The following is a 13,339-nucleotide window of genomic DNA, read 5'->3' on the forward strand; positions in this document are numbered from 1 at the left end:
CAGGATGGTGGGGGATGACCCATGGCTAATGAGGGCTCCGACTCATGTCCACCTCTCCCCAGCTCTTTGAAGGCTAATGGTGATCTCCTACCCCATTCCCGGGGGGCACACAATGAGAAACTTCCACTTTGTAGATGGGGAAATGCACTTTGCACGGAAAGGTGGTGGGGACAGTCCTGGAGACTGGGCTGGTAGGACAGGGCAGCTGGTGGGGAAGGGTGCAGGTTGAGGTCTGCCCTGGGAAGGCCCTGGGGAAAACACTTCTCTCCTTCACTCCTCATTCCAGCCTCACCTCCACCTCCTGGATCCAAGGCAGGGACATGTCCCTGTGACTCCATTCAGGCTGCACGGGAAATCTGACCTGCTCCCATCAGCCTCTGACTTCCAACCCCAGCCCAGCATCCCCACAGCATCCCCAGACTTCCTCTGTGGGATGCGGAGGAGGGCCAATGGGAGGAGCTTCTCTCCAGGTTGGAATTCCTCAGTAGAATGCAGACGGCTGGAGGTCACAGAGGCCTCTGTGATATCACCACGAGGGGGAGTGAGACCACTTGGAGTGAAGATTCTTTGAGGAGAAGGAAGAGACTGAGCAAACATGAGGGATAATGAAAAGGCCTGGTGGCAGCAATGGACCTCCCATACAGGCCTCGAGGGGTGGGGCGGGACTCAGGAGGACCGTATGGGGTTTGGAGGGGCAGTAGCTGCACTGAGGGGCCGCCCCTCTCCCCTGCAGAGTACCATTCACGAGTCCTACGGTCGGCCAGAGGAGCAAGTGCTCATCAACCGCCAGGAAATCACGAACAAAGCGGTAAGGATAGCTCTCGCCCCACAGTGGCCCCTTCTGCAGCTGTGCTCATGGGCAGCAGGCCCTCATGGTAACTCTGCCCCTCTACCCTCTAAACGCCCCCAGAAGACCCTCCCTAGCACTGATCCCTGAGTGACTGCCCATGATATGTTAGTAACTCTCTGGCAATGCCCCCCATAGGAACCCTTATATAACGATCATCTTCACTATCAGAGAGCCCAAAGAGATTCTCTGGCAATGACTTCCACAAAATCCCCCGATAGTAACCCACTTTTAGTGGCCATTTAGATAGTGATCTCTACACTGATGTCTCCATTCCATGATCCACTCTCAGATGATTTCCCCCCTCTAGAGTGGGCCCCAGGAACCCCCATTCTCTAAGAGCAAACCCCCAGGCAGAGGCTTCCTATGGTGACACCTGCCTGAAGGAAGGTCCTGCCCTCTTCCAGGACGCCTGGGACATGCAGGAGTTCATCACTCACATGTACATCAAGCAGCTGCTCCGACACCCCGCCTTCCAACTGCTGCTGGCCCTGCTGCTGGTGATCAATGCCATCACCATCGCTCTCCGTACCAACTCCTACCTGGACCAGGTGGGATGCCAGCATGACCTCTGCCCCACTAACCCTAATGGGGGGCCTGGGGCAAGAACTCTTCCGGCCTCAGGCTCCTCATCTGTCTATGATGGTTGGATTGGATGCTCTTCAAGGGTCTGTCAGCTCTGACCTTCTAGGAATCTGGAGATCAAGGAAGACTTCATGATGGAGAGGGCTCTGCAGCCTGGCTTTGAGGAATGCATTGGATTTGTACAGGAGGGACAGGAGAAGAATGGTGTGAGCAGAGGGAGGCAAATGGGTGCCTTGTGGAGAAGGGGTATCCAATTCTAACCAGCAGTCACTAAGGGAGAATCACTCAGTGCCAGGCACTGACTGTGCAGACTGCCAGGGTCCCAGGGATAATAAGCACAACTGGGTCCTGTCTCAGACACACAGAAACTGTCATTACAAGTGCTCAAGTAGCACCCAGAGTACATGGAGGCTCAACGAAGGCACTCGAACCTAATCTCAGGGGTCAGAGCTGGCTTCCTGGAGAAAGTGACACTGGAGCTGAGAGTAAAGAAGTAGGATGTGATCTCAGTCACCACAACAAAGAAACAGAAAAAAAGAGCACGTAGGAGTTGGCCAGGCAAAGAGAGGTGGGGGAGACTTTTTGGGGAAAAGAAACAGCATGTGAGAGACTTCTCTGTGTCCAACTTGAAGTTTAGTGTGACTTATCCTTGATGTTTTAATTTCTTTTTTTTTTTTTTTAGAGACAAGGTCTCACTCTGTCACCCAGGCTGGTGTGCAGTGGCGCCATCTTGGCTCAATGCAGCCTTGAACTCCTGGACTCAAGTGATCCTCCTGCCTCAGCCTCCCAAGTAGCTAGGACTACAGGCACGAGCTACCATGCCTAATTAAAAAAATGTTTTTGAGCCAGGCGCAGTGGTTCATGCCTGTAATCCCAACACTTTGGCAGGCCAAAGTGGGTGGATCACCTGAGGTCAGGAGTTCAAGACCAGCCTGGCCAACATGGTGAAACCCCGTCTCTATTAAAAATACAAAAATTAGCCAGGCATGGTGGTGGGCGCCTATAATCCCAGCCACTTGAGAGGCTGAGGCAGGATAATCGCTTGAAGCAGGGAGGCGGAGGTTGCGGTGAGCCGAGTTTGTGCCACTGCACTCCAGCCTGGGCGACAGAGCGAGACTCTATCTCAAAAAAAAAATTTTTTTTGTAGAGACAGGTTCTCGCTCTGTCGCCCAGGCTGGTCTGGAACTCCTGGGCTCAAGCAATCCTCCAGCCTTGGCCTCCCAAAGTGCTGAGATTATAGGTGTGAGCCACCATGCTGGGCTGAGGACTATTTAGAATGCTTTTTTGAATAATGGTGTGGATGTCCTATTGTCTCCAGTGGCCATATGTGACAGTGGGCCCTAAGGCACTGAGTCTGTTGCACTTTGGGGTAAAGCGCACTTTTGGGGAGGACACTTTGAGAGGTCAAGACAGGCAGATCACTTGAGGTCAAGGGTTCGAGACCAGCCTGACCAACGTGGTGAAACCCCATCTCTACAAAAATACAAAATTAGCCAGGCATGGTGCGCACGCCTATAATCCCAGCTACTTGGGAGGCTGACGTAGGAGAATCGCTTGAACCCAGGAGGCGGAGTTTGCAGTGAGCTGAGATGTCACATTAAAAAAAAAAAGAAAGAAAGGGAGGAGACACGGTGACTTGGGTGACTGCTAGGTGGAGTCGGGCACTATGGGGGCTGTTAGTGGGGTCGCAGCCATAAGGAAGCTGAAGGAGTTTCGAGGTTGAGAGAAAGTGAATTGGGCTCTGGACAGACCCCAGTCACCCATCTACCAATTCATCCATCCAGGGTGCATGTCCTGGACCCATGAGTGGCAGGATACCCAGGAGTTTGGTCAGGCCTAACTTGGAGTATTTGGAGAGCTGGAATAGCAGGAGAGGTTAGGACAGATGGAGCTTGGTGTTCTCCACCCTCAGAGGCCAGGCCTTTTCCTCCCAATCCTGGAGGCTGTTCTGCCTCTCCTACCTCCCTCTCCAAAATATCCCTATTCTAGAAGTTAGGGACAAAAGTTCATAGTCAGACAACCATCTTTATCAACTAGCTGTGCACACAGGCGCCACTCTGATTCCACTTCTGTAAGACGGGAATAAAACCTACTTTGCAGGACAACAGTGATGGTAACATGAAGTGATGTGTGATAGCCCCAGCACAGTGCCTGGCACGCACAGGCAAAGTGTGTTTTAAAGGAAGTGACAAGGTTGCTGAGGACCAAGAGCAGCAGTGATACGGGACTTCCCTCCCCTACATACATCCTCTCCCTGCCGGCTTGCCCAGGCCCTGCTCCACTGACCTCTCTGCCCCTCTTTTTTCTCTGTCTCCCATGTAGAAACACTATGAGTTGTTCTCTACCATAGATGACATTGTGCTGACCATCCTTCTTTGTGAGGTTCTCCTTGGCTGGCTCAATGGCTTCTGGATTTTCTGGAAGGTGAGATCCTGAGCCCTTTGCCCCTACTTCCCCCTGGGGACTGCACACCACCCAGTCTGCCCCTGTACTCCTGGCCCTACAAACTGAGGGTGTGAGTATGTGTGTGTGTGTAGACAGAGTGTGTTAGTTCAGAGATGTGTATGATGTGGCAGAAAGTAACTGGTACTAGAAGTGCAGCCTCCCTGGGCTCCAATTCCAATCCCTGCTCCAGCCTTCCCCAGCTCTGTAGTCTTGGACAAACCTGACTTCCTTGTCTGAGAAATGGGGCTGAAAGCATCTACCTTAATTTACAGAGATCAACAGGGATCAGCACACTTTTTCTGTAATGGACCAGATAATAAAGATTTTAAGCTTCATGGCTGTACAGCCTCTGTTACCATGACTCACCTCTGCCATGGCAGCACAAAAGCAACCATGGACCACACATAAATGAAGTGGGCATGGCTGTGTTCGTGGACACCCAAATTGGAATTTCATGTAATTTTCATGTGTTATAAAATCTGATTTTCCCTATTCACTTGCTTTACTCCTACTTACAAACTCATTCAGATGTCTTCTCTTCCAGGAAGTCTTCTTGTCTCTCCCAGGCTAGGTTAGGTGCTGCTTTGTGTCTCCATGATGCTATGCACTTATTTTTTTTGCATGGAGTTAAAATTTTCTGTTTATCCATCTTCCTCAAAATAGTCTGTGAGCCTAACAGGGCAGGCATCCTATATTCTCAGGAACTGGATCTGGGTATGGCACACAACAGGAGCTACATGCTGAATTGATATATGGATGGATCTGCAGACAGGCAGACTTGTATCTCCTTGTGTATGTGAAGGTGCAGACTCAGTACGAGAGGCCAGGAGGACTTGTGCTTACTGGACCCCCAATACATTGAAGAACTTTTTTTTTTCATTAAGTATAGTTTTCTTGCTGGCTGCAGTGGCTCATGCCTGTAATCCCAACACTTTGGGAGGCTGAGGTAAGAGGATCACTTGAGGCTAGGAGTTTGAGACAGACTGGCAACATGGTGAAACCTCGTCTCTACTAAAAATACAAAAACTAGCTGGGCGTGGTGGCGCGTGCCTGTAATCCCAGCTACTTAGAGGCCGAGGCAGGAGAACCACTTGAACCCGGGAGGCGGAGTTTGCAGTGAGCTGAGATTGCGCCACTGCACTCCAGCCTGGGCGACAGAGAGAGATTCTGTTTCAAAAAAAAAGTTTTCTTTTTGAATATTTAATGCAGATACATGCTGGTCAAAACTATGTTGAAAGGTACACACAGAATTCTTGCTTCTCTTTTGTCCCCTCATCCCTCTTCTCCCACCACTATCCTTTCTAGGTAATGTTTTTATATTTATAGTCTCTTTTTTATTGTCTTTGTCCATTTAGTGTTGCTATAAAGGAATACCCGAGGTTGAATAACTTATAAAGAAAGGAGTTGTATTTGGCTCCCAGTTCGGCAGGCTGTGTGAGAAGCATGGTGCCAACATCTGCTTCTGGTGAGGGCTTCAGGCTGCTTCCACTCATGGCAGAAGGTGAAGCATGTGCAGATCACATGGCGAGACAGGAAGAAAGAGAGAGAGTGAGAGGGGAGATGGGAGATGCCAGGCTCTTTTTTCTTTTTCTTTTTCTTTTTTTTTTTTGAGACGGAGTCTCGCTCTGTCGCCTGGGCTGGAGTGCAGTGGCGCGATCTCGGCTCACTGCAAGCTCTGCCTCCCCGGGTTCACACCATTCTTCTGCCTCAGCCTCCCGAGTAGCTGGGACTACAGGCGCCCGCCACCACGCCTGGCTAATTTTTTGTATTTTTAGTAGAGACGGGGGTCTCACCGTGTTAGCCAGGATGATCTTGATCTCCTGACCTCGTGATCCGCCCTCCTCAGCCTCCCAAAGTGCTGGGATTACAGGCATAAGCCACCGCGCCCGGCCTATGCCAGGCTCTTTTTAATAAGCAGCTCTTGAGGGAACTCATTCATTACCTTCAGGATGGCACCAAGCCATTCATGACCCAATACCTCCCATTAGGTCCCACCTCTAACACTGAACATCAGATTTCAACATGAGATTTGGAGGGGATAAACATTCAAACTATAGCAGCCTCACAGTATTTATTTTTACAATAATCAGCAAATATGTATATACCCTCGATCTTCCGTTTCCTAACAGTAACATAGTATAAACATTATTCTGCACTTACTTTTGTCACTGAATGGATCCTGACAATCTTTCTATATCAGTACATGGAGATCTTTCTCATTTTTCTTTCTTTTCCTTTTTTTTTTTTTTTTTCTTTAGAGATGAGGTCTTGCTATGTTTTCCAGGTTGGTCGCAAACTCTTGGCCTCAAGCAATCCTCTCCCGCCAGCCTCTCAAAGCACCAGGATTACAGGCAAGGGTCACCATACCTGGCCTCATTTTTCTTTTTATAGCTACATAGCTACATAGTATTCCATTGATTTAATGGAATTTAATGTGCCATAGTTTATCCAATCAGTCTCTTCTGATCATTTGACACGTTGGTTTTCTTTTCCTTTTTTTTTTTTTTTTTTTTTTTTTTGAGACAGGGTCTCACCCCTGTTGCTCAGGCTGGAGTGCAATGACACCCATTTCGGCTCACTGCAGCCTCGACCTCCTGGGTTCAAGTGATCCTCTCAGCCCTCCAAGTAGCTGGGACTACAGGGGCACATGCCAACACCCCTGTCTAATTTTTATAGTTTTTTGTAGAGACAGGGTTTCACCATGTTGCCCAGGCTGGTCTGGAACTCCTGAGCTCAAGCAATCCTCCCACCTCAGCCTCCCAAAGTGCTGGAATTACAGGCTTGCACCACTGCACCTGGCATGTTGGTTATTCTTAACCTTATACAAATGTAATTTTGTACTTCAACCAGAGTATCTGTGGATCAGATTTCTAGAAGTGTGATCCCTGTTCAGATTTTTCATACCTGTGAGTTTCCTTCTCCTCCCCATCTCATTCCTGTGTAAGTGTCTTATTGGACAAAGGGCTTGCAAAATGTACCAGTCTCCCTTTCTTTCTTTTCTTTCTTTTTTTTTTTTTTTTGAGATTATCACTCTGTCACCCAGGCTGGAGTGCAGTGGCGCAATCTTGGCTCACTGCAACCTCCGCCTCCTGGGTTCAAGCAACTCTCCTGCCTCAGCCTCCCAAGTAGCTGGGACTACAGGCACGTGCCACCATGCCCAGATAATTTTTGTATTTTTAGTAGAGATGGAGTTTCACCATGTTGGCCAGGCTGGTCTCAAACTCCTGACATCGTGATCCACCTGCCTCAGACTCCCAAAGTGCTGGGATTACAGGTGTGAGCCATCGCGCCTGGCCCGCCTGTCTCCCTTTCTTGTGCCGTGAGAGCTATTTCACCTCAGAACTGGCTACTGAAGCAGTATTCCTTATGTTTTTACTAGTATCCATTTTCATTTTATTATTAATTGTAGTGTGTGTCACACAAAGGCAGGAACAGCCAAGTGTTTTCATGTTACCTACCTGTAGGGCAAGGCTGTTTTGAGCATGCTTTAGCCAAGGTGGGCACTCAGCTTAGGGACCAGCCATGTATCTGTAAGGGTCTTTGCTGTGTGTCTCTGAGACTGCATTTGGCTATTGACACATGTATGGGACAGAGAGTACACGTGTGTTTTGTGGCTTGTTTGGGGGGCGGCAGGGTAACAGCAGTGGATGGCAGCTGACTGGCCCTGCTCTGAGAGGGACATTGAGCCCTCATCCCTGGGATGTGGGGAGGGCAGACCTAGGATGCCCCCATGGGCTGGGCCTGACAGACCCCACTGGGGCTGGCCCACTCCCCAGGACGGCTGGAACATCCTCAACTTCATTATCGTCTTTATCTTGCTCTTGCGGTTCTTCATTAATGAAATCAATATTCCCTCCATCAACTACACTCTCAGGTGAGCGGGGAGCTCTGGAGAAATGAGGGGGACCTATCTGGAACCCAGGAATGAGATGGGGGGATAACGACCAGCTGGAGATCAGCTTTGCCTCTCTGGGCAGCTGGTGGGGGTAATGAGGAGGGAAGGGGCTGGGAAGGGCCTAGGGGCACCCCTGACAGGCTCTGCCACAGGGCGCTTCGTCTGGTGCATGTGTGCATGGCGGTGGAGCCCCTCGCCCGGATCATCCGCGTCATCCTGCAGTCGGTGCCTGACATGGCCAATATCATGGTCCTCATCCTCTTCTTCATGCTGGTCAGTGCCTGCCCCCGCCCCCAGCTGTTTCCCTTCCCTGAACAGGGCCCTTGGGTCATTGCAAATAGAGGGGTGTCTGGAAAAGCAGAGAGGCCTGTGGGCCTGAATCCCTGTGATTTCCTCAGCAGCGTTCATTTACATGACATTTGTGTGTCCTATTTCCAGGCCCTTTGGTGAAGTCGGGGTGGGGCTCTTTTCTCTCTGACAGGTTTTTTCCGTGTTTGGAGTAACACTCTTTGGTGCATTCGTGCCCAAGCATTTCCAGAACATACAGGTTGCGCTGTACACCCTCTTCATCTGCATCACCCAGGACGGCTGGGTGGACATCTACAGTGACTTCCAGTGAGTGCCAGTGGGACTTCCAGCCTCATCCCACCTATGGGGCAGGGTAGCCGGTGGAGCTCCAGGCTGAGAGTGGGAGCTCCAGGGATTGGGATGAGGATGGCCCAGTAGAAGTGGGGGTTCCCAGGTCTTTAAACAGAGGAAAAGGAAATACCTGGACTTGTGATACCTGAAGCCTTGTCACCCTTGAATCTCCATATATTCAGAGTCCCATTCCCACCCTGTAATGGGGACCTCTCCCATCATGCTAACCAGCTGGGTAGTTGGCCTTGGATAAGGCAGCAGGTCTGCAGTTATGCCTCAGGTTACAGAGCAACCTCCCAGCCCACCTTGGAGCCCACCAAACTGCCTGAACTCCTGGGAACTTCAGGTCTCATTTCATTCATTCTTAAACCCACTGCCCACATTCATTTTTGTGTTCTGTTCTTTACCTCTTTTCTATTAAGTCTAAGCCCTATTTCTTTCCAGTTTATTCCAGAAAGTGGGACCCCTTAACTGATTTCTTTTTATCTTCTACATGTGAGTATAGAAGCCCAGTAGATAAAGGGCTTCTACAGTCATTCTCCATTATGGCATAGGTAGTGGATAAAAATCAGGCTGGCCGGGGCCGGGCGCGGTGGCTCACGCCTGTAATCCCAGCACCTTGGGAGGCCGAGGTGGGCAGCTCACGAGGTCAGATCAAGGCTATCCTGGCTAACACAGTGAAACCCCATCTCTACTAAAAATACAAAAACAAAGCCCAGTGCAGTGGCTCACACCTGTAATCCCAGCACTTTGGGAGGCTGAGGCAGGTGGATCACAAGGTCAGGAGTTCAAGACCAGCCTGGCCAAAAAGGTGAAACCCCGTCTCTACTAAATATACAAAAATTAGCCGGACGGTGGGGCGCCTGTAATCCCAGCTACTCAGGAGGCTAAGGCAGGAGAATCGCTTGAACCTGGGAGGCGGAGGTTGCGGTGAACCCATATCACGCCACTGCACTCCAGCTTAGGTGACAGAGTGAGACTCTGTCTCAAAAAAAAAAAAAAAAAATTAGCCAGGCGTGGTGGCAAGCACCTGTAGTCTCAGCTACTTGGGAGGCTGAGGCGGGAGAACGACATGAACCCAGGAGGTGGAGCTTGCAGTGAGCCGAGATCACGCCACTTCACTCCAGTCTGGGCAACACAGCGAGACTCCATCTCAAAAAAAAAAAAAGGAGTGTAGCTAATAGATTAAACTTAATAGTGTTGATGTGCACGTCCCCACCTTGCAGGGTTGGTTAGAGAATCAGCTCACTGTCTGGCAGCACAGTAGGTGCTTAGTAGAGAGCAGCTATTGAGACAGGAGTAGGGAATGGGATCTGCACAACAGCAGTGACACAGGCAGAAGTTCTAGTAGGCCTTGGGATGATTTTCCCATTTCAATGACAAGGAAACTCAGGCTTGAAGGGCCAGGGAAATGATGGGGCCCCTGCCTGCCATCTGCAGGACAGAGAAGAGGGAATATGCAATGGAGATTGGGGGTGCCATCTACTTTACCATCTTCATCACCATCGGTGCCTTCATTGGCATCAACCTGTTCGTCATCGTGGTGACCACCAACCTGGAGCAAATGATGAAGGCAGGAGAGCAGGGACAACAGCAACGAATAACCTTTAGTGAGGTGCGTGGGATGGGGAGGGCAGAAGGGAGGAAAAGGAGTGTGTATGAGAGCGGACTTGAACATATGTGCATGTATGTGTGTGCTTGCATAATCAAGGGCCTGGAGAAAGCCAAGTTGGAGGCCTGGAGGCAGCAGCCCCCCATCTTGAGTGCCCACCCACCAACTGGGGCTTCTGAGGGGTGTGGATTTTCTAGATGTTAGATTTCTATGGCAACTCAAAACTGAGCAGCTGGGTGACCTTGGGGCATTTACCCACTCTAAGCCTCAATTTTTTTCTTTTGTAAAATGGGAATAATAATAGTACTTAACTCATAGGGTTATTTTATGAGGGTTAATGGGTAAATGAACAGTGCTTGGCGCATAGTAAGCACTCAATAAATGTTAGCTACGGTATTATTCATTCAGGGCAGTACTTCCATAAGGTTGGGGAAAGGGGTGGAGTACTTCTAAAAGAGTGGAGTGCTGGAGGCCTGGGCTTGAGGGTAGGCAGGGCTTTATAAATTTGCTGGGTAGGGTTTATCAGGGTTGAAATCTGGGGCAGGGCTAAATTTTGAAATGGGGTGAGAATTTTTAAAGAGGTGGGGGGAGGTCATGTGCATTTAAAGTTGGGTTCCCCCAGCAAGGCAGTGAGGCTAAGATTGGTGAGAGCTGAAATGAGGGCCTTAGAACCCTGGGGTCCTAAGAGACTCATCCTGAAGCCAAGCAGGAAAAGGGTGCCGGGGGCGTGCCTGCCTGAGCTGTCCCGACCCCTCTCTATCCCCCGCTTCCCAGACAGGCGCAGAGGAAGAGGAGGAGAATGACCAGCTGCCACTGGTGCATTGTGTGGTCGCCCGCTCGGAGAAATCTGGTCTCCTCCAGGAACCCCTTGCGGGAGGCCCCCTGTCGAACCTCTCAGAAAACACGTGTGACAACTTTTGCTTGGTGCTTGAGGCAATACAGGAGAACCTGAGGCAGTACAAGGAGATCCGAGATGAACTCAACATGTAGGGGAGGGTACTGGGGCTGCCCCCAAGTCATGTGAGTCAAGGCTGGGCGGAGCGTCAGAGTCTTCTGGCCTCACGCCCTCACCATTTATAAGGCAGAGCCTGGGCCCCACAGAGGTCCCCCACCCTATTGGTGGAGGAACTGGAATCCAGACTCCAGGTTCCTTCCATCTCACACAAGGGCACAGCTCGGCCTGGGTCTCTGTCAGGGCTGCGTGGGAGAGCGAAGCGGGGGTGACGCCAGGGAAGAGGTGGGAGGGCTGCTTCCCTCCCCTGAGGCCTTCTGAAAGGCACTCACTGCTCCACCCCCAGGATTGTGGAGGAGGTGCGCGCAATCCGCTTCAACCAGGAGCAGGAGTCAGAGGTGTTGAACAGGCGCTCGTCGACGAGCGGGTCGTTGGAGACTACGTCATCCAAGGACATCCGCCAGATGTCTCAACAGCAAGACTTGCTCAGTGCGCTCGTTAGCATGGAAAAGGTGTGCCTTCCTTCTCCTACCCAATGGGTACTCGCCCTGACACTCTGCTCAGCCCAGCCCAGCCGGGCCTCTGGACCATTTGTCAAAGTTTCTGTCTATTCCAAGATCTGGTCCCCCTCACCACCACCACCCCTCCTTTTTTTTCTTTTTTCTTTTTCTTTCTTTCTTTCCTTTTTTTTTTTTTTTTTGAGACGGAGTCTTACTCCATCGCCCAGGCTGGAGTGCAGTGGCGCGATCTCGGCTCGCTGCCACCTCTGCGGCCTGGGTTCAAGCGATTCTCCTGCTTCAGCCTCCCAAGTAGCTGGGATTACAGGTGCTTGTCACTGCACCTGGCTAATTTTTGTAGTTTTAGTAGAGATGGGGGTTTCACCATCTTGGCCAGGCTGGTCTTGAACTCCTGACCTCGTGATCCACCCTCCTTGGCCTCCCAAAGTGCTGGGATTACAGGCGTGAGCCACTGCACCTGGCTGTCTGCCTCTTAAACTTCCATCTGCCTCAGCTGTCACTGCCTATCTGGTTAGGTTCTGCACTTTCCTTCTCGGAAAGGCTCCACCCTTCCTGCCAGTTTCATCTCTAGTGCCTTCAAACCTACCCTTTCTTAGTGTGTGTGGCATGAGCCAGCTCAGTGCCTGCCTAGTGGCAGACACTTAGGCTGTAAGTATAGTGTGGGCACAGGACCCAGGATCCTATCTAAGGTGCACAAAACCAGCTGTCTCCTGAACTCCTGGAGAGAAAAAGGCACACACCCACGTTACTTAGTTTCTTTTTCTGCCCCTCCACACCATCAGCCTGGGATATACCCTGGGCTCCCAAACTCAGAGGGGGTACTAGGTAGGCTCAAGTTAGACCTATGAAGCACTTCTCTGGGAGGCCTGGCTGGGGAAGCTGGTGAGACTGGAGGAGGTGAGTAACGGAGGCTGCCATATCGGGGGGAGTGGGGGATTAACAAGAAGACCTCTTGGTTTGCAGGTTCATGACTCTAGCTCACAAATACTCCTTAAAAAACACAAGAGCAGCCACTGAGAGGCCAGGATGGGAGCCAAGGGGCCTGCACACACACACCCAGCCGCTGCGTCTTCCTGTGTCCTTAGTGTGGCTTGGCAGAGCCTGGCCAGAGCCCATCCTCTCCCTTATACCTGGGCAGAGGCCAGGGGCTGTGAAGGTGGCAGCACCTGCAGGTCTGGTGCCTGTGAGCCCCAGGTCCGGTGGAGCAAGGAGAGAGGAGGATGCTGGATGATGAGAGTGGGAACCCTAGCAGCAAGGATGAGCACAGAAGGGGGTGCTGGCCAACGCAGCCAGGATTTGACCTAAGGATGGGGATCCCTGGCCCCCTGCTCTTGCCCAGAGCTGGTGGGGGGCCTCAGTGGGCCCCAGAACCAAGAAGAGAAAGGCAAGGCCAGTGGGGCCAGACATCTGTGTGTTGACAATAAAGTTTTGTGTTGGAATCAATGTCTCTGACTGGTGGATCTCCAACTCCTTGGGGCACTTGCCTGGGTCTAATAGGAAAGACAGATCTTGCCCCTCAAAATCCCGTTTGTCTGGTGGGAGAGTCACAGGCTGCCCTGAAGAGCATCCAGTCTAATGGGAGGGAGAATTGCACCCCTAAAAATTTCTGACTTAATGGTAGAGATATAACCCTTGCCCTCAGGGTCCTAAGCTTTGTGGAGGAAAGTCTGGTCCTCATGGGAGGGAGCCCCTGTCTGATGAAGGAGATGGCCCTACCTGCTCTCTCCCTGTCTGAAGATGGAGACTGGTCCTCACTCTGGGGAGCCCTTGTCTGATGGGATCACCAATGACCAAGTCACACAAGTACAGGCACCTCCATCCTAGGGCAATGGAGACTGACTACTTA

At 51.1% G+C, this 13,339-nt stretch overlaps 1 protein-coding gene across 3 annotated transcripts, besides 3 other annotated features; it reads left to right on the forward strand.

Annotated features, from left to right (window-relative positions):
- Positions 456–1,273: an enhancer, noted in NCBI's record as "H3K4me1 hESC enhancer chr1:26516979-26517796 (GRCh37/hg19 assembly coordinates)". NCBI's record gives its function as "activates a minimal SCP1, AML or CMV promoter by ChIP-STARR-seq in naive H9 embryonic stem cells {active_cell/tissue: H9 hESC(naive)}" and the evidence as "EXISTENCE:reporter gene assay evidence [ECO:0000049][PMID:30033119]".
- CATSPER4 (cation channel sperm associated 4) lies at positions 570–12,932 on the forward strand. 3 transcript variants are annotated; one of them, NM_198137.2, is made up of 10 exons: positions 570–808; positions 1,255–1,398; positions 3,755–3,856; positions 7,654–7,751; positions 7,925–8,045; positions 8,254–8,387; positions 9,852–10,026; positions 10,798–11,009; positions 11,322–11,487; positions 12,457–12,932. In NM_198137.2, exons 1-10 carry the CDS (start codon positions 596–598, stop codon positions 12,508–12,510), a joined length of 1,419 nt encoding a protein of 472 aa, NP_937770.1. In that variant the 5' UTR covers positions 570–595; the 3' UTR covers positions 12,511–12,932. The 3 variants fall into 3 exon arrangements, with proteins under 3 accessions (NP_937770.1, XP_011539734.1, XP_011539735.1); XM_011541432.4 differs by lacking the exon at positions 12,457–12,932 and having other exon boundaries at positions 10,802–11,009; positions 11,322–11,412; XM_011541433.3 differs by lacking the exons at positions 9,852–10,026; positions 10,798–11,009; positions 11,322–11,487; positions 12,457–12,932 and adding an exon at positions 8,594–9,001.
- Positions 7,940–8,439: an enhancer, noted in NCBI's record as "H3K4me1 hESC enhancer chr1:26524463-26524962 (GRCh37/hg19 assembly coordinates)". NCBI's record gives its function as "activates a minimal SCP1, AML or CMV promoter by ChIP-STARR-seq in naive H9 embryonic stem cells {active_cell/tissue: H9 hESC(naive)}" and the evidence as "EXISTENCE:reporter gene assay evidence [ECO:0000049][PMID:30033119]".
- Positions 11,423–12,395: an enhancer, noted in NCBI's record as "H3K4me1 hESC enhancer chr1:26527946-26528918 (GRCh37/hg19 assembly coordinates)". NCBI's record gives its function as "activates a minimal SCP1, AML or CMV promoter by ChIP-STARR-seq in naive H9 embryonic stem cells {active_cell/tissue: H9 hESC(naive)}" and the evidence as "EXISTENCE:reporter gene assay evidence [ECO:0000049][PMID:30033119]".
- Positions 12,933–13,339: the final 407 nt, after the last annotated feature.

The sequence above is a fragment of the Homo sapiens genome, chromosome 1 (genome assembly GCF_000001405.40).
Source record: "Homo sapiens chromosome 1, GRCh38.p14 Primary Assembly".
Lineage (NCBI taxonomy): Eukaryota > Metazoa > Chordata > Mammalia > Primates > Hominidae > Homo > Homo sapiens.

What these genes read in the sequence shown, in the direction of transcription:
- CATSPER4 (NM_198137.2), top strand. Translation starts at nt 596, where the DNA reads ATGAGGGATAATGAAAAGGCCTGGTGGCAGCAATGGACCTCCCATACA. An exon ending in GCTTCTGGATTTTCTGGAAG is followed by an intron (nt 3,857 to 7,653) that starts GTGAGATCCTGA and finishes CCCACTCCCCAG; the next exon opens with GACGGCTGGAACATCCTCAA. An exon ending in TCCATCAACTACACTCTCAG is followed by an intron (nt 7,752 to 7,924) that starts GTGAGCGGGGAG and finishes GCTCTGCCACAG; the next exon opens with GGCGCTTCGTCTGGTGCATG.